The 27,314-nt window shown below is 37.1% G+C and overlaps 1 long non-coding RNA gene across 1 annotated transcript in view; it reads right to left on the bottom strand.

Annotated features, from left to right (window-relative positions):
• The window catches only part of LINC01362 (long intergenic non-protein coding RNA 1362), a 263,633-nt gene that overhangs the window by 146,902 nt on the left and 89,417 nt on the right, over positions 1-27,314 (bottom strand). Inside the window, exons 4-5 of the long non-coding RNA NR_147074.1 lie at positions 23,138-23,199; positions 22,325-22,441 (exon numbers count right to left, since the gene is read on the bottom strand). This is a non-coding gene — a long non-coding RNA (long intergenic non-protein coding RNA 1362). The remainder of the gene's footprint in view (positions 1-22,324; positions 22,442-23,137; positions 23,200-27,314) is intronic.

Here is a 27,314-nt window from a genome sequence, read left to right as displayed (position 1 = left end):
AAACTTAGTTGATGAGACAGCATCAGAATTTGAAAGGTTCGACTCTAGTTTTGAAAGGTTCTGCTGTGGGTAAGATGCTATCAAACAGCATCACATGCTACAGAGAAATGGTTGGTAAAAGGAAGAGTCAATGGATGCACCAAACTTTCCTGTTTTATTTTAAGAAATAACCACAACTAACTCAACCTTCAGTAACCACCACCTGATCATTCAGCAGCAGCCATCAACCTTGAGGGAAGACCTTCTAGCAACAAAAAGATTAAGACTCTGAAGGGTCAGATGAGCAGTAGCTTTTTTTTTTTAGTAATAAAGTAAAGTATTTTTAAATTAAGTTATGAACATTGGGAATTTTTCACATAATGCTATTATTCATACACACAACTTTTATATGCCCTGGGAAACCAAAGAATTTGTGTGACTTACTTTATTGTAGTGGTCTGGAACCAAATCCACAATATCTTTGAAGTATGCCTGTATATGTGTGTGTGTATATATATATATGTGTGTGTGTGTATATATATGTATATATATTACATGCATACACATAGATTAACATTTTAAAAGTACATATACTTTATATGCATATGTATATATGTGTGTGTACATATATACATATGTACACACACATATATACATATGTATGTGTACATATGTATATATGTATGTGTACATACATATATACATATGCATATATACATATGCATATAAAGTATATGTACTTTTAAAATGTTAATCTATGTGTATGCATGTAATATATATGTACACATGTATATATGTATATATGTGTGTGTACATATGTATATATGTACACACACATATATACATATGCATATAAAGTATATGTACTTTTAAAATGTTAATCTATGTGTATGCATGTAATATATATACATATGTATATAGGCACACACAGACATATGCATACATACACATATATAGCAGGGTCCTAAAATATATATAGCTATATATACACATATATAGCAGGGTCCTAAAATATATGTAGCTATGTATACACATATATAGCAGGGTCCTAAAAATCTGTGACCATGCAGTTATCATCTCCAGGAAATTATTATGAGTCTATTTCAATTACGATACAAATCTCTTCCCTAGTAAATACAGTGCAGCCTATAAACATAGACATTTGGGAATAGAGATACTTTCTTTCAATGAAATAACATTACATTCCTTGCAAACTTAGATTATTTTCAAAAGACTGACCAAAATGTATTTTTGGAAAGAAAGAGAATAAGACAAAAAAAAAAAAAAAAAACCATAGCAAAATTTCAGGATAAAAAAATGCTGCTCAAATTAGCTTTTCTCACAAAATGCTGCACCACATAGTGATATTTAGTCCCAAAGAGGCAGTAGTTTTTCACCATAGGCCTTCTGTCCCTGTGGACTGCCCTTTCTATGGCTCCCACCCACTCCCCTTTTGTATCTGTAATCACTGTGTTGAACATGGATGGCACTGATAACATTTTGCATTCCATTTTCTTCCTCTTAGTCTTGTGTTATTCAGATGCACTGACCCCATAAAATGTTATGAGGTAAAAGCTACTCTCATGACCTGTAGAAATGAATGTCACTTTCTAAGGTATCAGGGAAGATTTGAGTCCTGGGAGAATATGCTGCTCTCCCTAATGGCAATTCATGTATCACTTTGATGCTCAAAAAGTAACGACGCTGTCTCTTCCCCAAAGAAGAATGAAGCATATGTGAAGCCATCGTTTTCTTCACAAGGTCAGAGAACAAAGTACTTCGAAGCCAAATGAGGAAATTGGGGCGTGAAGATAACTATTTTAGAATATTTCTGGAAATATGGTAACCAGTCAAGACAGCATTTATTTTAAAGTGTGGTGTTATAATTTTGCACAGAAATTTTTTATGAGAATATTTTTGTCACTTTCAGAGAGATCTATTATGATATGCAGGGCTGAAGGGAACATGTTGACATGTCTGAGAGCTAAAACAAACGTGAAGAATGAAGCTGAAAATAACCAGCTGTGAAGAAAGCATTACAAAGCGCTGGGTGGCACTCAGCATTGTACATCTAGAATTCAGAGATGTGTTAGGAGAATGCAATAACATGGCACTCGTAGCAAGCTTTTCCAAGAAGAAATTAAGAAGGGCACATCATTTGCTATTATAGACTAAGGTAATTGGTATCTACGTATCTGTGCTCTTCTGCTGCCAATAGGGATATGCATGAAAAAGATGCAGCTGCACCTCTCTTTGCACAGTGGATTCCCGAAAATCTCTGTGCAAATAAATCCCATTATAAAACCAGAAATGATTCATCTTTTCTGATTGATCTTCAATATAAATGGTTCTTAACATTTAACCTTTAAGATCCTTTGTCTGAGCCACATGGGGTTCAACTTCCTTCTCTATACTACTGGCTCCTAAATATTAGTTCTTAATGAAGTGTTCACCATGCTCTTGTGAAATAAGAAAATGAAGGGAAATGAAGTAACATTTTGGGAGATAAATGTATTCAAATTAAATGGCCTTGTTTAATTCTGAGATTATGCCATTATGTTTTCCCTTTTTGATGTTAAAAAGACCTTTTCTTTTATGAAATCATGCTAACAGTAGATGTTCATTTATAGTGTGTTGCTTATAATTTTACTGGTTTCTGAAATCTAAAACTATTTGTATCTCAATATGCAACCATACAAAACATCTCAAGCCAACCTCTGCCAAGAGTTAATGCATTTTTCAACAAACGAATAAATATAGAACTTACTTTATAAAGAAAATATCCCAGGCTTCATCTTATAATGCAAAGAGGTGTTATCTAGCTATTCTGGGTTTTGACACTGGATGTTACATATTTCTCTTCCTTTCATCAAATTCATCGAACTGGTTATATGAATAATACTAAGATGTATATACTTGAAATACAGCAATTTCACCATCTACAAGTTCAGATTTTACAGGTTGTGCTAGTCAAAGTTTTTAGTAACAACCAACAGAATTTACTCCCTGTCCTTTAAGATTGCTTATGAAAATCAAAGAGATAATTCATGTAAAACATAGTCAAGGCTAAATACCGAAATTATTTAATGGTGAAAAATGTTGGTTATCTTAGCAAAGCCATACAGATTACAAGCAAAAGTATAGTAGACTAAGTATAGTAGACTTTTAATACTACAGTGCATGTGACAGCCAAATACTCTGATTTGCTGTGCTGAATCTATGCTGGTAGAGCCTCCAGCTTAGCATATTGGGTGCTTTTGTCCTCAGCCATGAGTTTTAGTCACCATTCCCCCTCCCTTAACCTCTCATCAAAGGAGAAATCCCATTCTGCACTCTACACCATAATACATATTTCAGCAGGAATGACAGATAGTAATAAATCATTGAAATGTATCATTGTAAATGACAAGTGCTGTGGCAAGAAATGTGTATGAGAAAATGGGAATGTGTGAGCAAGGGACCTGGTGTGGATCTGTAACTTCCTTGAGGAATTGACACTTGAACTCAGATTAATAAAAAGATTAGACGTTAAAGAAGTATTCCCTCCAAGGGTAATGTTCAGGATCAGGGGCCAGGAGGCAGTAGGATGAATTAAAGAAATGGAAGGTCAGCATGGCTGTAGCAAAGTGAGTTAAAAGATGGAAAACAGTGTTAGGGTACAAAAAGAGGTAAAGTGCTCCAGCAATAGAGTGAAGCAAATTGACTCGGACAGACACCTTTAGCTACAGAAGATATAAATGCTTGATCATTAACAAAAAGTGATTTTCACTCTATTATCAAACTCAAATGGAAGAAAGCAAAATTTCTAGAAGACAGATAAATGAAAGTGGGAGTGGTTAAGGCCCTAAAAATTATACAAATGTCAGGACCCACAAAACCTGGATAAGCCGCTAGCTAGAATAAATAACAAAAACAAGAATTAAAACTCAAATAAATAGGAATAACTGTCCCTGAAGAAAAAAGAATAATTTGAATGACAGCAAAATAGGTGTGTTTAACATGATTAAAGATATTTTTCAAGAAAATAAAATCATGAAGATGAAATGTACTATATAAAAAATGACAAGGTATTAGATAAAATAATCAGATCTTCTGAAAATAAAAAATATAGTAATAGAAATTAAAAAGCAACTGAACAGGATTATATATACCTTTGAATATATAACTAATGAACCAAAAACTATAAATATGAAGAAATTATCTAGAAGGCAGCACAGAAAAGTAAAGAAATGTAAAAATAATATCAATATATATAGATCATTGGGTGAAAAGCCACTATACATATTTTTAAAGGTCCCAGAAGAGGAAAATAAAGTAAATGGAGGTAAAATCTATTCAAACAAAAAATAAGAATTTTTTAGCATTGAAAATGATATGAGTCTTCACATTTTAGAAGCACACTGAATCAAAAGAAAAAGGAACAAGAAACATAAACTCAGATACCTCATGCTAAAACATCATCAACTCATGAACATAGAGACTACATTAAAAATTACTAGAGAAGAAAAATAGTTTATCTCCAAAAGAATAAGTGTCAGCCGACTGACAGCAGACTTCTCATCAGCAATAATAAATGTCAAAAGACAGCAGTAGTAAATTAACTGTCACCATAGAATTTTATAAAGCAATCACTCAAATTTGAGAATAAAATAAAGATATTTGCAAGAAAACAAAGGCTAAGGTTTTCTATCCCTGACAGACGATTACTGAAAGAACTACCCAAGAAGACATGAATGGAATAAAAGAAACAATGGCAAACAAAAAAAAGGAGGGTATACATATTGGGAAATCTAAATAAACACTCTAAATTAATAATCATCATTAATAGTTTGAGACAGGTATAAAAGAAGGTAGAATAAACTTGCCTAATATAAGAAGGAGAGCTTTTTGTACTGATTAGAAGAATATAAATATTTATTAACTTAGTTTTCATCAAGCTAAGTAAAGGTGGTAAAATGTAAAGGTATTCATTAAATAATAAATCTAAAACTTTGAAACCAAATGGAAGAATACAGGGAGGTGATTAAGGGAATTTGATTTGTCTACTAGAAGGCAATAGAGGAGGGAAAATAAGTGATAAGAATGAGAAATAGAAAATTCAAAATGAAGATGGCAGTAATATTTCCAAGTATTTCAAGAATCACAATAATATAGATGATATCTACTTATCTAAAAATAGGAATTATATGATTAGATGGACAAAAACCTATAATCAAACTAGATGCAATTTACAAGAAACACATAAAGTGTAAGAACACAGGAATGTTGACAGTAAAGGGCTGCACAAAAGTATAACCAAATGAAAGGTGGTATAGTTACATATATGAAACTAAGTGAGCATTAAATTATAAACTATTATTAAGCAAAGTTCATTATTAACACAACAATATAATGGGGAAAATCATAGAAAGCTATAAAAATGTTAACGCTGTGTGTGTCCAAACATAAAAATTAAAAATAAATGAAACTCCATTTGACAGAATTATTTAAGGAAACACTTTAAAATCCATAGTCACAATGGTGCATTTTTAACACAGCTATTTCATAACTGAGACATCACTTAGATAAAATATTAAGAGATATGTGAACAACTCTTGCTTGATGGCTACGTATGTATTCCAGTACCTCAATTTAGAAAATATATCTATTTTTTCCAAAGGACCACTTACAAACATGAACAATTTTTATAAATGCTTTTTTGAAAAATATATATATACAAACATATCTAAGTATATTTATGGATGTACAAATTTGAAAATAATTCACAGACAACTCAAGAGAAAAATTGGAATTGGCAAGGAATATTACCAGACAAATTTTAAAGGAGACAACTGTGTGACCGATAACCAAGTGTAAAGTTGTTCACTCATCAGAAACATGTACATTTAAACAAGATGAAATTTCCTATCCATCATGTTGGCCAAAAATATTTGACTATGCTAGTTGCTGGAGTGCAGGTGGCGAATCAGAACATTTTACGTAATGCAAAGAGGGAAAATTGGAGCAACTGCCTTTGAGAGAAATTGTCAATATCCACAAAAGTCAAATATATCCTATGACCTGGCAATTCCACTTTGACTTATAAACTCTAGAAAAGGTGCTTTCAAACTTTTTTTTTTTGCAGCAATCCATAGCAGAACAAAACAAAATAAGCTAACAAAAACTGTTTCACATTGCAAAACAGAATATATACATGCATATTCATACACATAACTGAAGTAAAAGTTCACAATAAAATAATCTTCTGCATTTCATTTGATAGAATCATTCTATTATTCTATTCTATTCTATTCTATTGGATTCTATTCTATTCTATTCTATTCTATTCTATTCTATTCTATTCTATTCTATTCTATTCTATTCTATTCTATTCTATTCTATTCTACTCTATTCTATTCTATTCTATTATTTGATCCTATTCCATTCTATACGATTCTGTTCAATGTCACTCTACTTCAACCCAATCTACTCCACTCTGGTCCCATACCACTAATTGATTTCATTACTCAATTGATCCTGATTGTGTCCCTCAATATGAAAATCACCCTACTAGAGAAATTACAACAAATACTCAGACTCCTCCAAAGATATTTATTGAAATATTGCCTGCAACAGTGAAATGTTATGATCAGTCTAAATAAATGTCATTAAGCCAAAGAATTGTTAGAAAAATAATTATATGATCATACAGTGGAATTCTCTGGGGCAGCTAAACTGCCCTGGTATGCATGGAACTCTGCCTGCTTACTCCTATCATCTCAGAATCCTATCTGGTTAGTGTACCCTTCCATTTTCAAATGTGTTGAGGTTTGGATGAAAAAGTCAGGGCTGGCTTCATGGGCAGATAACTTGGACAGTCATGCAGGCTTCCACCCTCACATGGGCTCTGAGCTTGGGGTTTAATGCCCTGTGTCACTGTCATGAAATTCCTAAAATTTTCTTTAAATTATGTTTTGGAAGTGAGGTTGGTGGGACAATAAGCAATGGAATGTGTGTGGAAAAGAGAGGCTTGGAGACTTGGGTCCTCCACGGTCTCATCTTCCCAGATACCTCTTGCAGGTTCTCCACCCTCTGATGCTGCAGGTCCTACCTGGCCTCTGGCTCCCTGCCATTGCCAGGCAACTACTGCCATCCTCTGCCCCAGAGGAGGGGAGGACTGGGGTCTGTTAAGTGCCCAGTGGCCTCTTTGGGTGGGACATGGCACAGTGTAACTCATGAGCCTCTCGTTCAACCCCAATCCAGTACCAGCACAGAGTTGGCAAACCCTTAGGTGTGGCCTGGCAGCTGCAGGTTTGGGAGTCAGGACTATGAGAATGGGAGATGCCCGAGAGGGAAGATGTCTCCATGCCTAAGAAAAACCCTATAGTAAATGGCAAATATAAAACCACACTGACAGGTAAGGAGAAAGAAAATGGAAGAAAATCAAAGTTTGATATTAAGGGTGCTTTTCTCCCTGCTTTTTGAACAAGGGTCCCTACAAATTGTGAAGCTAAGCCTGGAAAAAATACATGATAACCCTGTTAATATTTTATTCTTTTTTCACAGATCAATAGGAAGCCAACAAATTATTTTCATAATAGAAAATAGGTTCTATTTATATTCTAGAAAGATCACCCTTCAGCCTCTGTTCCTTCGTCCATCTCCCCACCTGAACACAGTGCGCTGATACAGCCACTCCTTACTCACTGATTGTCAACTATTATCAACATAAAATTATCATTCCTATGATAAACTTGAACCACTAGAAGTCAAAAAAGGAAAGAGAAAGAGCAATCTTCTGCCACTTGTCCTGTCTTCCTCCTACTCTGTGTCCACTCCTCTTTCAGGTGTTTGTCTGTTTCGCTGATTGCTATCCATGTGAGCCCCCCGTGTCTGGGTGGAGGGTCCTTTTGCAATTCTGCACCTGGAGCACTTAGTGTATATTCAGGTGATTACCTTTGTTGATTAGTTTTGTCAATTCCTCTCATCCTTTCAGCAAATTTAGTTGGGTCACCTTGAGGGTACTTCAGTTTTAATTTAAATACAGTTTTTAACTTGTTTGTACTTTCTGACAGCTGCTATCATTCAATTTACTCTGCGAGATATTCTGCAAGTTTGCTCTCCTTTTTTCTCCTCTAAGATCTATTGAGTTCAAAAAAATCATAAAATAGAACGGAAAGGTGGCTTCCAGCAGTTATTACATTCTTCCCTCTTCGGAAGGACTGCTAGGAAGCCGTGTCTGAAGAATGAAGAGTTACTCTAAGAGATTTCTGGGAAAAAGAGAATTCATAGCCTCCCTCCATACTCATTTGGGGGCTAAAGAGACCTGTCAGGAAATTTTTCCTTGTATCTAAACTAAATCTAGCTTAATGTTCCTTTTAGAGCAGGCAAAGTACATGGTGTATATTTAATAGTTGAACTAAGACTTTCTTTTGCTCTGACATGCCCCAGCATGTTTTAGGATAGTGGTTGGATATGTCAGAGAGAAAACAGGTTTTATGTTATTTGGCCTGAATTTCCATTAGGTGCCTGTTTGTCTGGACAAACAGGCAGGAATGCCCATCTTTAAATAATGAGCTTGGAGTTACCTGGGGGATTACTTACCAATGAGTGTTACCTGCAGGATGGGAAAAAAATAGCTGATAAAATCATTACTGAGCGTTATAAAACACCCAGGTGGATAGTATGTGAGCTTCAGACTGGATAAATCATGCCTCTCTAATCTATTTGGAATTTTTTTGAAAGAGTTAACAAAATACTGAAGTGTAGAGAAGTAGTGGGCATTAAATATTTAGACATTCAAAAGGCTTTTGATCAAGCCCCTAACCAGAAAACATTTAGAATCCATTTCAGCCTTCTGTAGGACCCAAGAGGTGAGAGGTAAAATTTTGTCTGTAAATCCTTGATGCTAAAAAATCCTGGATAACAATGAAAATAAAAGGTTGGAATAAATGATGTTGTTAGTCTGAAAGGAAGTTAATAGAAAGGTGCACTAGGGAATGGTGTTGGAACCAAGTTTCTTGTATATGTTAACACCAATCAATCTGGAAATGCTTCCGAATAATGAGGTTGCAAAATGTGTTGGGGATGGAGAACTATTTAGGCTAGTCGGGAGTGGGGAATATTTTGAGGAACTCCACAAGGGCCCAACAAAATTTAGGTAGTTGAATAATCTGATGTCAGATAAAATTGAGCCAAGACAAAACAATGGTACTCTATATTATAAGAAATAATTTAAGCTATGAATGAACACTGATAGATTTTGGATTAACTATAATCTTTCAGGAGAAAGGTCTAGCAGTCATTGTGAACATCTCAATAAAGGATCTGTTCACAGCAAAGAGACTGTAGGAAAGGCCTACAGAGGTGTAAGTGCAATGATTAGATGCACATGAGAAGAGATGAAAAAGGCCAGGATTATTTCATTTGGAAAGGAAAGAAAGAGGAAATTTGTTAGAAGAGGGTAAAAAAATGAAATATTAAAACAAAAAAGCCAGTTGAGTACTTCTATTCACTTTTGCCTATAATATTAGGAAGTCAATGAAATTAGATAACATGGAATTTACATGAAAATGAGGGAAAATGCTTATGTAATTCATAGTTAACATTAAGAGCTTCCTGCATGGAATGCCATTGAGCTGGATACCAACTACTGAGCAAGGTATCAAATGGGTTACACATTCACAGGGGTGGGCTGAGATTAGACTTTCTCCATAAGATCCTATTAGAGACGGTGTGTGAACATGTATTCTAAAGCAGTTTTCACAGTCTCTCTTGTATTTGAATTAATTTATGTGTCTGTCTCCCCCTCCTTAGGTTGTAAATTCATAGAAAGCAGAGGTTTTTGTCTTAAACATTTTTATCTCCTTTCCCTTTTTCTCTTCAGTGTCTAGGAATATTCTTTGCTCCTAGAAGGTACTCAGTAAGTACTTACAGATTTCACGCTGTGATGCATGGGGGAGTAGGAAAGGTTTAGCAATGGAAGAGGTGAGTTTCTCCCTTAAGACTGTCTGCCCCCTCACCCCCAGCAATGTCTACTTAGCCCATACTGTAGCTATCAAACAACAATGAAAGGTGATGAGATGAAATCAGAGAAAGGAAAGGAAGGATGGAAAGTAGGGTTGAAAGCTATTGGTCAGTACTGAAAATCTATTGTGTGTCAGGTGCCTTGCTACACATTTTTATGCACATCTTCTTAACAAGCAGCTTAAAATCCAGTTATTAGTAGGGACTAGACACTACTTCTTTGGCAAAGAAAATGTTTCTAAACTCCTTCCCTGCTCTATCCCTGGCTTGCTCCCTGAAATAAACAAGAACTCAAGGAGTTGACCTTCAGTGCCTTCTTGGAAGTCACATACACCCAGTCATCTAAGAGCTTATTTTTAAGAACTCAGTTTATACTAAGTCGTAGAAATACAAAAACATCTTTTCTGGATGTTTTCATGACTTGGAGTTCATTTGTTTAATAGTATTTATTGAGCACCTATGGAACCACTCATTAAAGAGACAACAATTAAAGCACTGTTTATTATCTCAAAGTGTTTAGACTAGAAAGGGAAAATTAGAGAAGTAAAGAAGCAATTAGAATATAGATTAATAAGCCTTATATTATGGAAGGCACAAGAAGTTATAGGAACACAGAGGAATAGCATATAACCCATGTCTAAGGGATGGAAAAAGGGCTCCTGGGGAAATTTGTATTCAAATTCAAAGGTGAAACTCTGATAGAAGAGGGTTGGAGATTGGGGGAGTTGGGATCAGACGCCAAAGCAAGCATGAATCTGGCACATTTGGGGTCATCTGAAAGGTATTCAGTGTGGTTAAGTTAGCAAGTCCTGGCTTTGACATTAAAGGCAGGATAAGCACTTCACCCAAGATGAATAACAACTTTTTAGTGCTTGAAAAGTTTCATTCAGGACCATGTAGAAGAGTAGTGGGAAACAAAGCTGGAGACAAAAATTGAGATTGAGAGCAGAGAAACAAGCACATTGCATTAGTTTAAAATTTACCAGGAAGGCCGGGCGCGGTGGCTCACGCCTGTAATCCCAGCACTTTGTGAGGCTGAGGAGGACGGATCATGAGGTCAGGAGATGGAGACCATCCTGGCTAACACGGTGAAACCCCGTCTCTACTACAAATACAAAAAATTAGCCGGGCGCGGTGGTGGGCGCCTGTAGTCCCAGCTACTTGGGAGGCTGAGGCGGGAGAATGGCATGAACCTGGGAGGCGGAGCTTGCAGTGAGCCGAGATAGCGCCACTGCAGTCCCGCCTGGGCGAAAGAGTGAGACTCCGTCTCAAACAAAAAAAAAAAAAAAAAAAAATTACCAGGAAATGGACACTAAAACAGACTAGAACTACAGGAGATGTATCTGTGGAGGGAATAGGAGTGCACTGTATGCGGTGCGCCATAGGAGCACCCTACATGGGGTGCACTCTGATCATGATGCAGACCTGACACATGTGGAAGGAGAGAGGGAGGAAGGAATACCAGGTATAAAGAGTCACAGGCAACAATGACATTTCCAGAAAGATTCAGCAAGGGCCAGTGGGGAGTTCTGAAGTTAAAATTGTGTGTTGAAGGAGTTCACATTTTGCTAGAATTGGCCTGTTTGTAGGCATATTAGCTAGGGTTCTCCAGGGCAACAGAACCCATAGGTTGTGATACATACACACATATACACATATACATGCATATCTGTAATAGGATGTGTGTATGTTTATACACATAAAGAGAAAGAGAGAGAGAGAGATGTAAAGGAATTGGTATATGTGCTCTTCAGGGCAAGGTGGAGATCCAGGGATGAGTTGCAGATTGAGTCCGACGGCCGTCTGCTAGAAGAATACTAGAGGAAATGAAGGATCATCTGCTTTACTTAGAGTCTACTGATTTAAATGATAATCTCATATTAACAATACAGAAGTATCTAGACTAATGTTTGACCAAATATCTGTTTAGTTTACTCGTAAAATTGGCTATCACAGTGTGGTCATCATACTCTGTCGCTGGTTGGGAGCAGCTTGCAGGAAGTAAGGCCTCCGCATGAATGCAGCAGTGGAGGCAGCACGGCAGCGGCTAGGGCTGTCAGTCAGTTCTGCTCCCTGCAGCAGATCTGAGCAGCTTCTATTCTTGGCCACCACACACACAAAAGCAGTGATCAAGGCAGCATCAAAAGATCTGTCCAAAGTTTGACTTTCCTTAGTAGACAAAATATAGGTTTGAACAACACAAGGGACAGGTGGATGAAACCAGAAGAACACATGTAAGACAACAGCCGAGTAGGCAGACGTGAATGAGGCAATACACTGGAGCTGAAAGGAAAGCAGAAAATCAAGGAGTGGCGGTGCGAAACATGCCAAAGCAACAATAACAACAACAAACCATGATCTGACAGGCACTGTGCTCAGACTAATACCCCCATTGTAAGAAGAAGAGACCTAGGCTCAGAGATGCTAAGTAACTTGGCCAAACTCATCTTTCTAATTAGTAGCCAGATTTAGAATTTGTCTTCTTTACTCTGAATTCCATCTCTTTCTACTCTATTATACACACTTCATTTTTTAAACAGACAGGGTCTTGCTATATTGCCTAGGCCAGACTGAGACTCCTGGGCTGAAGGGATCCTCTTGCCTTAGCTTCCTGAGTAGCTGGGACTATAGGTGCACACCACCAAGTCTGGCTTAAACTGACTTTCTGCTCTATCTTAGGGCCAAGAAACCTAACTATGGAGTGAAGAAACAGGCATGAGGCAGCAGAAGTAAGACAGCTTCGGCAGGAAGAAAACCATCTGCCTTAACAAAGAAGCATCTTAATATATTTTCTACTGAAGCAACTTCCAGTCCCTGGGGAAGTCCAGGCTCAGGCTTGCGCGTGAAAGCAGGAAAGTAGATTCAGTCGGGGAAGCAGTGCATGCGAGGGCAGGGACACGGGCTGATCCCGACACATCTTTGTGAAATGGGAATGAACTATCAGAAACAGAGGCAGTTTTCCTTTGAAAGTCTGTTACATTCACAATGAGGGTGATGAAAGACTTTGCTTCCTTGCCTTTTAGGTAACTTCAATATGGCCAGACTTTGAAATATAATACTGTACTGAATTTTGTATTGAATGTGGTGGTGCAATATTGAACTATAAAAGAAAGGGCTGGAACAGTACTTTTCAAATACTTGCTGCTCAGAATCCCTTTGCCCTTTTCCACTTACAGGTATGATCTTATCTATTGATATTTTCTGTCTCAAAAGGCCCTCTGTCTATTCTATCAGGTTGCCCTATTTTTCATTGTGTAATAGGCTGTATTTTGAAAATGAATAGCCCCAAACAACTTCGATATATTGCTATTACTGTGCTTTTCTTTTGAAGAAATTCTTCACTTGGCATTTCACTTTAATCAGACTTCAAGCTGCTATGATAGCAGCCCTCCTCTCTTCCTAGACCTCACCACCACCCAGACACTGACTCCTTTGTACATCTCAATGACTCCTGTCATTCTTAACACTGAGGGCACCCCTCCTGACATCCTGAGATGGTAAGGAGCAGCTGGCAGCTTTCTTCCAACCTCTTTCCAGCAATGCCCACTGCTGCCACTCTGTAGCAATCAACAGACGCACCGTGTGGCCTCCTTTATTCTCACTGTGCATCTCTGCCCACCCTTGCTCTTGATGCCCACTTGAAATCCTAGTGTATCACATGTACAGGTTTTTCATGGACACTATATCTAAAGTGAATATGGCCAGAAGGAGCTATTGGGAGGCAGAAAATCTGTTGAAAGCTATTTGTGTTCTAGGAGCATACTGAAGAGTCAGCCCACTTGTGTAAACACTGAGCACCGAGATAGTGATATTTTAGCTGCAGTTTGGAGAATTTCAAAATAAGATTGGTCGGAGGCAGAATAAAATCATATAGACATATATATCATCAGCAGGATACAGTCTGATTTATAAAAGAAACAAAAGAAATGATATTGTGCATTGAGTGTCAGCTGTGACCTTTGAAGACAAGGACCAAAGATCCTAGCACCCTTGGCACTCAAGTATGATGCTGGTCACAGTGGGTGCTCAATCGAAGTGTGTTTAACTGAACTGAATTTTTGGTTTGTTTTTGAGACAGTCATGCTTTGTTGCTCAGGCTGGAGTGCAGTGGTGCAAGCATGGCTCACTCTAGCCTCAAACCCCTGGGCTCAAGCCATCTACCAACCTCAATCAGCATCTCCAGTAAATAGGATTGCAGGCATGCACCACCACACCAGAGTAATTTTTAATTATTTTATTTTGGGGGAAGACAGGATCCTGCTATGTTGCCCAGGCTAGTCTCAAACTCTTGGCTTCAAGTGATTTTCCCAACTTCATTTCCCAAAATGTTGGGATTACAGGCACGAGCCACTGCATCTGGCTTGAACTGAATTTACAGCAAGGGAAACAAACTGGTTTGTAAGTTTATTATTGTGGTATGTGTTGCAGAATTTAGGTAATCAGGTAAAAGTTAAGGACTCTCCCACCAGAAACATGTACACACAAACATTTGTATTAAATTTCAAGAGGTCCTGTTACGTACCTAACATTGAAGTCCTGCCATCAACCTCCACTGAGATTTTTCACACACTAGAGATTCTAGTGTAAAATTAAAAAAAAAAAAAAAACATTCGAAGAACAATGAAGGATCAGCAACCAGGGTTATATCCTCTGTGGCAAAATGTTGATGACCTGACATTTAGAAATAACCCCGGCATTTACTGTTCATAGAAAGTTTCTTAACCTCCCTAAAGCTCATCTGCAAAATAGAAATAATTTTTTTTTCTTTTCTATGCTGTGTGGCATTTAATGAAATAATTTATGTGAAATAGTTGTGTAACCTCTCTAGACAGCTTATTATCATTATTATTATTGAGCAAATCTAAGCTGGTTATTTTGTTTGCTTGTTTTTCTTCTTCTCCTTCCTCTTCTTTTTCTTCCACCTTTCCTTTTCCTTCCCTTTCTCCTTCTCCTGACTTGATATTTGGTGAAAAATATTGTTAGTGTTTCGTGGTTGTTCTGTATTTGTGAAGAGTTACAAGCAATGAAAATACCTTGATCTCCCATTAGCACATAGTGGGTTACTAGCAACACGCATTCCTTAGCTCATGTTGTTCATGCAAAGAGCTTGGGGTCAGAGCTTGAAAGATTGAGATTTGAATACTTCTTCCATTTACTTGGGGAAGATGACAAAATCTCTTTGTACAACTGTACTTTATATAAGTTTACACATTTGGAAAATAGTGATAATAACCTAACAGGGTTATTTGAGAATTCAAGAGACACTGCACTTAAAAATAATACTTTGAAAATTGTAAAGCACTCTTCAAGAAATAGAGAATAGAGGTGTGATAGTGCTAGTCCCATTTGCCCTTTCGCTGGCTGGATACTGTGAGACTGAAGTGGGCATTTATTATTTTGTCTGCCAAGCCTCTCTAATGAGATCTGAATTGATCTTCAGATTCCACACTATACTGTCACATGTGGGAATGGGAACTGTTACATACTCTTCTCCTCAGCCAGTGATTGGTCTCAGGCTGGGTCAATCAGAGACTTTCCATAACATTTTCCAAATTAGAAGTAATAGAAGAGGAGCTTTCCCTCTCAGGAAGCCATGCTAGGCAGTTGTGAGTAAGTCTGGAGCTTTAAGTAGCTGTAGTTCTGGCTCAAGTGAAAAGCTGTTTTGGGAGGACAAGGGCAACATACAACAAAAAGCAGAGAGACCAGAAAGACAAAGAGAATTCTGAGTCCCTGAAGTCTCAGAAGCCACCCCAATTCCTTCTTCCTCCAGGTTTGGTTGCTCCACAGTTTATTTAATTTGGTATTTCTGTTACCCCATTTTCTAAAGTGACTTTGAGGTGAGTTTCTGTCATTTGCGGACAGAAAAATGCTGACAGACAACAGGTCTTGCATGTGCCTTAATAGAAGCTACAGGAGTGTGACTGCCAAAATGCTGTCTCCATGCACTTAGGGAAAAAAATTCTCTTGGTCCCCATTCTGGTCCTAGCCCAACCAAACCCACTCGTCAAGTTGTATTACCCATGAAAGCAATATGATCAGTATCGCTTGCCCAAAAAGCCAGGAAAATGTCTCTCCTCAGTTAGCAATAGCCTATTCCTCAACCTAGAGCTTGTGGGGGAAGGCACTAGGCTCCTTATGAATTCACTCTGCTTCTTGCAGCCAGAATGTGTTTTTAAGAACTGCAGCTGAGGGAGATGACATGAATAGGGCAATTTGGATTGATTGGAGAGCAGACGAGCATGAGGAGGAGACTGCAGCAGGAAAGAAATGATTTCGGAGCAAGAGTAGATTGCTGCTGTTTGGCTCTTTTAGCCCATGGAACCCAATAATAATTTTCCTCAAATTTTATATTTCCTGCCAACTGAGTCCTATAATCACATGGGTAGGGAGGTCTGAATTACTTTGCTTGTCAAAGGAGGGTGTTGTTTATAAGTGGAGAGCCAACACACTACTTTGCCCTCAAGTCAAGTGAAGAGAGATCTATCTGAATAAAAATAAAATAATATCTAAAAACTCCCAGTTAATGCCAAGATAACATGGAATTTTTCATTGTTCCAAGATCTGATCGTAAAATGTTGTTTTAGGCCTCACAAGAATTAATCCTGTCACCTTAAATTTGAGCTGGAACAAAGCAATATATTTCAATTAAAAACATACATTTTGAACTGCCTGTGTAAACCCATCTATAGGATTTGTTATCCTCAAAACACAACACACAAAGAAACTAAATAGGGTTTTAATTGTCTTTAAAGTCTGGGAACTCTCTCAAAATGCGACAAAATAAAATACTTCATTTCTCTGGCCTGTGTAGTTAAAAAGCTTCTGTAAGAATTCCTAAATGGCATGGCCTTTTATCCCCTCCATCCACAACCACCTACCCTCTTCTTCTTGTGTGTTACCATTATATTTGTGCTTCCTATATTTTATATTTCAGAAGTTTCTCCATGCTTTATAAGAAACAAGCTAGTTTAAGGGGTTTTGTTTGTTTCTGTCTCTAAGTATTTCAAACATATCTTTATTATGTTAGAAGCTTCTTGGTTTCCAGGATCTCTTTGAAATTAAATAAATTTGTAGAAATGGTTATTTTCTTACTATGGTACTTATTTCTAGGTTCTGTTTTATATTTGTCTAGAATTAATCTTGAAGATAATTAATTAATTATATTATTTGTATGTGTCACATCTTAAGTCCTCACATCCTAAAACAACAAAAAAAGACATTTTAGCATTTAGCCTGGAATTTCATTCTGTAAAAAACAGTAATTCCCTTTCGTTATGTCTTATTTTCTACTAATATCTATATAGACACTTTTCCTGTTACCCTATCTAAAAAGATATACACATATAAATGTCAGAATGAACAATTCCTTATATGTCATTTAATAGATTTTTCTTTTTTAATTTCAATTTTCCCTAGATCCATTCAGTTTTTAGTGATAATTAGATTTTAAGCATTATCCTTCAGGTTTGCAAGCCATATTGATCTAAATGTGATTCATGTTGTCAGTTGCGTTTTTTAAAACTTATCAGCCCATATTCACACATAATTCAAGATGTGTGTATTTTCCTAATCTTCTGCCCTTTTGCCCTGCATAATGTATAGTAGATCTGTTAAGTACAGTAGCTTATGTCAAGGTGAATTATTGAACTAAAAGTTTGATATATGATCTGGGGAAACTACTACATTTTCACTGAAGGCAAACCGTGAATCTCTTCAGGGCAATTCCAGTTGATTCCTTTGCTGCTTATTTCAATTGTTTTTTTGAAGGCATGCACTATATCTTCATATTTGTAAATGCATTTGATTTTTCTGTTTATAAAAGTGTTACAGAACATGTTAAAGAAGACTATTATGTTTCTGTATGAACCTTAAAATGTGCTGGTGTACATATATATGACACAATTAGTATAATGCTTATGCTGGCTCATACATGATGTGCGTTGAGGTTCTCAAAACATTTTCTCCCAAATCAATAACACACAATCACATTCCTACATTAAAACAAAATAGAGTGTGTAAGACAAAGGTAAAAAAGACCCCCTTTATTCACTATCCCTTATCTCTTTTTTTTTTTTTTTTTTTTTTTTTTGAGACGGAGTCTTGCTCTGTCGCCCAGGCTGGAGTGCAGTGGCGCGATCTCGGCTCACTGCAAGCTCCACCTCCCGGGTTCACGCCATTCTCCTGCCTCAACCTCGGGACTACAGGTGCCCGCCACCACGCCCGGCTAATTCTTTTGTATTTTTAGTAGAGACGGGGTTTCACCGTGTTAGCCAGGATGGTCTCAATCTCCTGACCTCGTGATCCGCCCGCCTCGGTCTCCCAAAGTGCTGGGATTACAGGCGTGAGCCAGCACGCTAGGCCCCCTCATCTCTTTTACTTTCTCTCATACACACACACACACACACGAACCACACCCAACTGCCATATCCCACTTCTTTTACAAATACAGTTCCTTTTTGTGCTTTAATATGCTTTCTTCTAGAATATTTGTATGTATTTAAATACACATATATAACTAATGCCAAATATATTTTTGTTTACTTTGTTTTGACTTTCCATGAGTTCATACCTATACATGTCTATACTTTGCATTTGCTGTTTACTCTCTTTCTGGAATGTTTTTCCTCAAAATATTTCTGAGGCTTAGTTCCTTACCTCTCTTAGGCCTTATCCAGACATCTCCTTTTATTAAGACATTTCCTAATTACTCTATTAAAACTGAAACTTCCTCTCCTATACCTATTTCCTGCCTATCCTTGCTCATGGCTTATCTGTTTTCAGAGTTTTTATCACCTTATAAATAACATATATTTTATGTTTTTGTTGTCATGTTCTCACTAGAGTACGAGATTCATCTAGGCAGATTTTTTTTTTTGTCTGGTTTATTTACTACTATGTTCTATCACTGAGAAGAGTGCCTGACACGTGGAAGTAGTTGATGTGTTAATGAATAAATACTATGGTGACTAAAAAGTGTGTGTTTTGTAGTCAGATTACCTGGATTCAATCCCAGTTCCAAATCTACTAGTCATGTGATCCTGACAACTTATTTAAATTCTTTGGTGTTTGGTTTCCTCTTCAGTAGTATAAAGATAGTAATAATGTCTCTCACCTGGGTGGTTATAAGGATTAAGCAAAGTTGACACATATGTAGGGAAGTGCCAAACAAATAATCCTCACTAAATTTTATCTAGTGAATATAGTAGTGGGAATAGTGTCAGTAGTAGTAATAATATGCAACTAGCTTTTTCATTCAATAATGTCATAGAAACATTTAGTCATTACATCTAGGTCCACCCAAATTTCTATTGCTACAGACTACACCATTGTGTGGATTTATTGTAATGAATATAACAATTTTCAGATTGTTAGACATTGAAGCTGTTTCAATCATTTCTGTGTTATAGAGAGGAAGTTGTCACTGCCAGTGAGCATTCTTGTGTGAGCAATCACTTACATTTGTGTGCATGCTTATGCAACTATGCGACGCTGTGTTATATGTCTTTGGTGAAACTCTTGGTAAAAGAATATTACTATTCTAACGTTTTCTAATTAATTCCAAAAAGTTGTAGCAATATACTTTCTTACCACCAGTAACAGAAGGTATCCATTCCTCCCAGGTCTCCTCAAAATCGGATGTTTATTGATTTTTTTTAAAAAAGTCCCTAACCTGAAGGGTCCCAATTAAAATGTTGCTTTAATTAGCATTTTACTAACAAGTATTAATGTTGACCAACTTTTGTAACTTTCTTAAACATTTCTATTGTTCTCTGACCTCTGTCCTCACGTGATAATTTATAAAATACAATATATAATTCTTAATTTATTATTTGGGATCCATCAAGCAAACATTTTCTCCTAGACTCTCTTCTGTTTTCTCTTCTCTCTAACTGCCTTTGCTCTACAGACTTTTGAAATGTTATTCACTGAAATGATTAAGCATTTCCTTTATGGCTTCTAGATCAAAAGATTATAAACTCTTCTGTATTTTCTTTAAATCATTTTGTTTTAAGCACTTAAATCCATTTGGTAGATTGTGTGTGTGTGTGTGTGTGTGTGTGTGTGTGTGTGTGCATGCATCTTTGGTTTATAGCCAGTAGATGCTGTAATAGAAACCTAAATCATTTGGTGACAATGACTTTGGCAACAGGTGACTGGTAGAAGCCCAAAGGACCTTGAGAAGATTTTTAGTAGAGTCTGGAAGGACAGCAAGGCAATTGGTATTGGAAGCTATGGAAAGGGAAACCTGAGCTGTATACTAGACAAAGAGAAAAACTACTGCCTGCGGTAACATAGAAAATAGAAAGAATACCTCTAGTAGGCAGAATAATGGACTCCCCAAAATGTTTACATCCTAATCTGGGGAACCTGTGAACATGTCACCCTACATGGCAAAAGGGATTTTGCAGATGTTACTATGCCCACAAGACATCAAGATAAGATTAGCCTAGGTTATCCAGATGAGCCCAATCTAATCACATGAGTCTTGAAGATCAGAGAAACCTTTCCCATCTGGGAACGGTGAACGCCTGTAATGACTGTGTAAGTGAGGTCAGGGAGATGTGATGTTGCTGGCTTTGAAGATGGAGGAAAGGGGTCATGAGCCAAGAAACGTGGGAGACCTCTATCTGCTGGGAAAGGTAAGGAAACAGATTCTCCCTTAGAGCCTCCAGAAAGAAATGCAGCCCTGTTAGCCTCTTGAGGTTAGCCTCGTGAGATCCATGTCAGACTTCTGACCTATGAAAGTATAAGATATCAAATTTGTAGCTTTAAACCACTAAAGTTGTGGTAATTTGTTATGGCAGCAATAGAAAATGAATGTAAACTGTTTAGTAAATATGGAGGATTCAGGGGTGGGGAAATTATTCTGGATTATCTAGGTGTGCCTATCTAGTCACATGAATCCTTAAAACAGAGAACATTTCTTGGTTGCAATCAAGGAGGGAGATGTGATATAGAAGAATAATCAGTGAGTTGCAACATTATTGAATGAGAAGATGGAAGGAACAGGCTGCAAGCCAAAATGTGTGCCCTGTAGAAACTGAAAAAGGCAAGGAAATGGATTCTCCCATGCACACCCCAGAAAGGAACACAGTCCTGCTGACATCTTGATTTTAACTTGCTGCAATATCCACATGTTCTGCAGTACACAAGAGATTACTGGCTTATTACAGCCAATTTAACAGTGAGGAGACAGGGCACGCTCAGAGTGGTTCACCTCCCATGTCAAAGGTCAGGGGTGAACTGAGACTGGAAAACTTAGATTGGTCCTGTTGTCACCCTCCTCTTCCTTTCTTTGCAAACACATACCATCAAGTTTTAAAAAAGAATCGACGGCTATTTTTTTCTATTATTGTGGAAAAATCATTACATCATCTGAAAAGTGGCACAATATTATTCACTGATACATTCAACAAACGTTTACTGAACTTTTCTAGCTGTCCATTCATTAGTAGTCACTGGCTACAACCATGAGTAAGAGTTACTCTCAAATTTATCAGGATCAAGTAAGAAAGTGGCAAATAAACAAAGTTCCATGCGGAAGGGGAAGGATATCCTAATAAGTGTAATCTCACGGAGGTACAGGCTGAAACAGAAGGGGCTTCTAGTCAGTCTTCCCTAATGAGGAGTGTTTTCCTGGAGAAAGCAACTTCTGAGCTGAGAACTGAATGATGAGCAAGATTTCATTTACAGAACAGGTTCTAACATTTTTAAGAACTTCTTCCTGGTTAAATCATAGAGTACAAAGAAAAAGGTAAAAACAAACAAGGAAACAAAAAACCCTGAAGATATAATAAGGAGCCAGATTATGAAGGCTTTTATGAGGCATACTTGGGAGTATGGGTACCTCATAAGTATTTTAATAGCAAAAGTAGCATAATTGTTTTTTAATTTTAAGTATAGGTATTTTAATAAGTATTTTAACAGGAAAAGTAACATAGTTATTTTTTAATTTTTTTAAAATCACCTCATTGTGTAATAGGAATAGATTAATGAAGAACAAAACAAGAAATCAGAATACTAGTTGAGATACATTGCAATAACCTATGAGAGAGAGAAGTTATAATCTTGGGGATGGCAGAGATGAAAACAGGTAGATAATTTTAAGAGATACTCAAAGGTTATAATAGAGAGCACTTTGTGATTGTTTTAGTTACCTATAAACACTATCAAAAACTTAGCGGTTTAATCCCACAATAAAATTTATTTTTATCACTCACAAGTTTGTGGATCAAGAATTCATCCATGGTTGAAAGGAATCCTCCCATTTTTGCTTCCCTGGTGTCAGCTGGGACAGTTTGACCAAGGCCAGAAAATGCAACATGACTCCACAACTCACGTGTCTGAGGTCTTGGCACTGGCTGTCCGCTGCACACCTTGTTCCTCCTCTGTGTAATCTCTCTCTTGCTCCTTCTCTGTGTATGATGTCTGATCACCCAGTTCGGCCCAAGCCTCCCTACATGGTGACATGTTTCAAAGAGAATTAAAATGCACAATTTCAGGCCTCTTAAAGTCTAAGCTGAGAAGTCATACAATGCCACTTCTGCCTTATTCTCTATATTAAGCAAGTTACAGAGCCTGCCAAGATTTAGGGAAAGGGAAATAGACTCTACCTCTTGATAGAGGAAAAACAAAGTCACATTTTAAAAGAACATAAGGGTGAAAAGTTGAGAGGAAACGAGGCATCAGAGGTGTTACTTAAGCAACCAGGTTAAGGAGTGAAGGTGTCATTTAGAGGCATAAATAACATAGGAGAAAGACCAATTTGAGGGGAACACAATGCAGTAAATTTTGGATATATAGATGTAAAGATATATACAGATATCAATGAGATATCCAAGGCAAGGTTATAAATCAAACACTTGTATTACTACCTGCTCAATGTTTTAAGTACTTTGCAAATAGTAACTATAGCTGACCCTTGAACAATACAGGGTTAAGAGAACTGACCCCTATGCAGCCGAAAAATCCACATATAACTTTTGACTCCCTCAAAACTTAACCACTGATAGCGCACTGTTCTCAAGAAGTCCTATCAATAATATAATATAGTCAATTAACACATATTTTGCATGGCAATATATATCGTATATTGTATTCTTACAATAAAGTAAGAGGAAAAATGTTGTCAATGAAGAGAAAATATACTTACTATTCATTAATTAGAAGTGGATCACGATGAAGGTCTCCATTTTCATCATCTTCATGTTGAGGCTGAGGAGGAGGAGGAAGAGAAGAGGGGTTGGGCTTACTGTCTCAAGGTAGAAGAAAATCCACATATAACTGGACCCACACAGTTCAAACCCACAGCATTTAAAGCTCAACTATAATTTAATCATCATAACAACATGATAAAGAGGATATATTATTATTATCCTTACTTCATAGGTAAAGAACTAAGAATCTTGAGAGCTTTACTAACTTTCCCAAAGTCACACAGCTATTAAAAGATGTCAGCAGGATTAAAATTCAAGCAGTCTAGCTCATATCCCTTAGTTGAGCCACTCTTCCCTGCCTTCCTACAGTATCTGGATGACCATGTTTTTCTAGAGCTCAAGAGAAATATAAGATGATTTAGATATGTATAATATTTCAATGTTTTAACCAGAAATGAGTGAAATTACAGTGACAAATTTTAACCTAGGAAAATATGTAGAGCTCTGAAGGATTTAATAACACTTATCTTTTGTCCCTTTTTGAGCTATAATACCAAGAATGATAGGAACTTCTGATCTCTTGGCAGCAACAACCATACAACATACTTTCTGGTGAGATATTTAAGAAATGGTCAGCTATTAAGTGAAGACGCTCTGCTGACTCAGTTTTAGGAACTTTTCAGTCACTGCAGACAAAAAGTCCAGAGGTGGCAGAGTTCAGATTTTTGGGCTAACTTCTGTCTTTCATCGTGCCATTTACACAATACTATGTGTTCAAAGAGCTTACTGTCCTTTAAACTTCACTACATGACAGGACATTCTAGGAACAATGACCACTCTCAAATGTTCTTGAGTACTGCTAAGGCATTTAAAAAGTGCATAAATCCTTGCTTTTAGTGTAAATTTGGCTCATTCCTGGGAACCTGCCTTTGAACTCAATCCAAAGTTCCATTGATATTCATATAATACCTTATGATATAAAAGAGTGGGAGTGAACTTTTAAATCTCAGAAAAATATTTACTGGCTTAGACCAGGAAAAAGTAACCAATGAATCTATCAATTTGCTTTTTTGGAAAGTGATTCTGGCTGGTCATATCAAATCTATAAAACTGATTTCCTAAGTCTCAATAATATCTCTGTAGCAATTAGACTTTTCTTTAAATCAGTAATTTTACAAGACATCGAATACCCATCCCTTTTATAAACCACTTCTCAAAATCTTAGCAAGCATTCTCCACTCAAGTTATATGAATCAGTTTGAAAAAATGGAATTATAACACGGGGGTGTTAGCACTAGAATGTGAACCCAACAATTTGGATCTGTCTCAAGGTCAAAAACTACATCCTTGATCCCAGGCAGCTATCAGTGCAGATTCATTATTTTGCAAAGAAGAATCAGGGTCCTGTGGGGAGTTACGTCCCTTGTCATCATTTGTGAATGGAAGGAAAGATTCCAAAAAGAAATAGAAAATATAAAACAATTACCTTAATGTACACATCCTTTTGCCTGTGAATCAGCAAAATTGTATTTAGGTATAGAAAGAAGCATTCTTTGAAATACTGCCAGCCTAAATCTGACAGTCGAGAAAATGCTGTAGTGTTAACATCAGCTGGAATATAGCCCAAATCTTCCCTCTTATTCACAGTTGCTGTTTTTGCCTGTAACATCCAGCAGAGAGAACCCTGTGTTGAACTGGTGTTCAGTAGTGAATGTGGCCAAGTACAGGGCCATGTGGCAAGCACTCCCAGGCTTCTTAAGCCCCCAGTAGACATCTTCCTAGGAATTCCAGCCAATTCCCTGCTTGAATTCCCAAGCCAAGTTACTGCTGTCTCTCTTCTACCATTAGTTCAATTTTGGAGCCTAATCTGGGGTATAAGAGCAATTCAGAGAAGGGGAAATTCTCTAAACAAACCAAGATCATTCTCATTCCAGGTTTTTGAACATGCTAGTCATTTATCTGTAACACACTTCCTTTTTCTATACTCAGAAAATTACTATCGTCCTGTAAGTTCTAAATTAAGCATCACTTTTTCCACAGAGATTTCCCTAAACTGACTGTCATGTGTTTCCACTCTGCGTTTTTCTAATTTATTTAATAAGAAAAATTTACTCACACACAGAAGGATAAAGAAGATGGTGTTAGCATTATCCAAAGACAGATGAGAAACAGAGACAAAATGAGGCAGAAAGAGTTACATACACACACACACACACACACACACACACACACACATAATAGACCCTTGAGCAACATAGGTTTGAACTGCACTGGTCCATATACACAATTTTTTTTCCAACCAAAAGCAGGTCAAAAATACAGTATCTGTTCATGCCTGTAATCTCAGGTACTTGGGAGGCTGAGGCAGGAGGATCACTTGAGGCCAGGAGTTCAAGACCGGCCTGAGAAATATAGCAAGACTCCCCCACCAAAAAAATAAAAACATGAAATTATTTTATTTTTAGCTGGGACTACACATCTGTAGTCCCAGCTAATCTGGAGGCTGAAGCAGGAGGATCATTTGAGCCCAGGAGTTCAAGGCTGTAGTGAATTATGGTCATGCCACTGTACTCCTGCCTGGGCAACAGAGCAAGACTATCAATAAATAAATAAATAGATAAGAAAATGCAGTGTTCACAGGATATGAAACCCATGTATAGAAAGGGCCAATGTTTTATATATATATATATATATATATATGTATATGAGTTATGCAGGGCTGACCCTGAAACTTCCACATATACCAAGGGATGACTGTTGATAGGAGAATTGACTCATGCAATTTTGGAGGCTGACAAGTCCCATCATAGGCTGGTAGTCTGGCTCAGTCCAAGTCCAAAGGCCTCAGAACCAGGGAAAGGCATGGTACAATTCTCAGTCAGAGACCAAAGGCCTGGGAACTGCAGAAGGCCACTGTTTTAAGTCCTGTAGTCCAAAGATCAGAGAACCTGAATTTCTGATATCCAAGGGCAGAAGAAGAAAGGCAAAAGAGTACAAATCCACATTTTCTCTGTGTTTTTGTTCTATCTAGGCCCTCAGCTGATTGGCAGGTGTCTGTTCACTTCAGGTACAGGTGGATCTTCCTTAATCAGTCCACTGATTCAAATGCCAATATCTTCTGGAAACACCTTTAGAGACACACCCAGATATAATGCTTTACTGGCTATCTAGGCATCGCTTAATCCAGTCACCTTGCTACCTAAAATTAACCATCACAAAGACTATAACAAAATGATCCACAACCTAGAATTAATTAACATTTAATTTCATTTCCTTCCAGTGTTTTCTTCTGTGTGGAGGCTACTTTGATCTCTATTCCTAGTCCTATTTGCTTGCAGCACTGATGTAAGAGAAACACTATCATGAGTTTGATTTACATACTTAAAATTCATTCTTAATACTTAAACACACACACACAAACTACATTAATAATAATGTAGTATTGCACTGTGTATGTTTTTCATTTACAGAAATATTATACCATTTCTGTTGTAAACAACATATTTTTGAAATTTATGCATGTTGATATTTATAGATATATTTCATTCTTCTTAATTACTATGGTATGTTACATAATTCTTATGTCTTTCACATGTGTACACTGAATCTCACTGACAGAAAACTTCATGAAATTATTTACTTTGTTCACCACTGTTTCTCCCACGTATAGTACAGTGCCCAATATTCTAGTGACAAATAGCAGATATATCAGTCCATTCTCACACTGCTATAAAGAGCTACCTGAGACTCGGTAATTTATGAAGAAAGGAGGTTTAATTGACTAAAAATTTCACAGGCTATACAGGAAGCATGGCTAAGGAGGCTTCAGAAAACTTACAGTCATGACAGAAAGGCAAAGGGGAAGCAGGCACATCTTCACATGGTGACAGGAGAGAGAGAGAAAGAGAAGGGGGAAGTGCTACAACCAGATTTCATGAGAACTCACTATCACAAAAACAGCAAGGGGGAAATCTGGCCCCATGCTCCAATCACCTCTCACCAGGTGCCTCCCCAACAACTTGGAATTACAATTCGACATGAGATATGGGTGGGGACACACAGTCACACCATATTAGTAGAATACTATTTGAAGTTTGCTCTTCTATTTTTCTTGAAATGAGCTTTGTGTATATAATTGGAAGTCTGATTATTAGATTGCCTCCTCTTGCTTTT

This window comes from Homo sapiens, chromosome 1 (genome assembly GCF_000001405.40).
Source record: "Homo sapiens chromosome 1, GRCh38.p14 Primary Assembly".
Classification (NCBI taxonomy): Eukaryota; Metazoa; Chordata; class Mammalia; order Primates; family Hominidae; genus Homo; species Homo sapiens.
The sequence above is the reverse complement of the archived record's forward strand: the minus strand, read 5'-3'. Positions and strand labels throughout refer to the sequence as shown.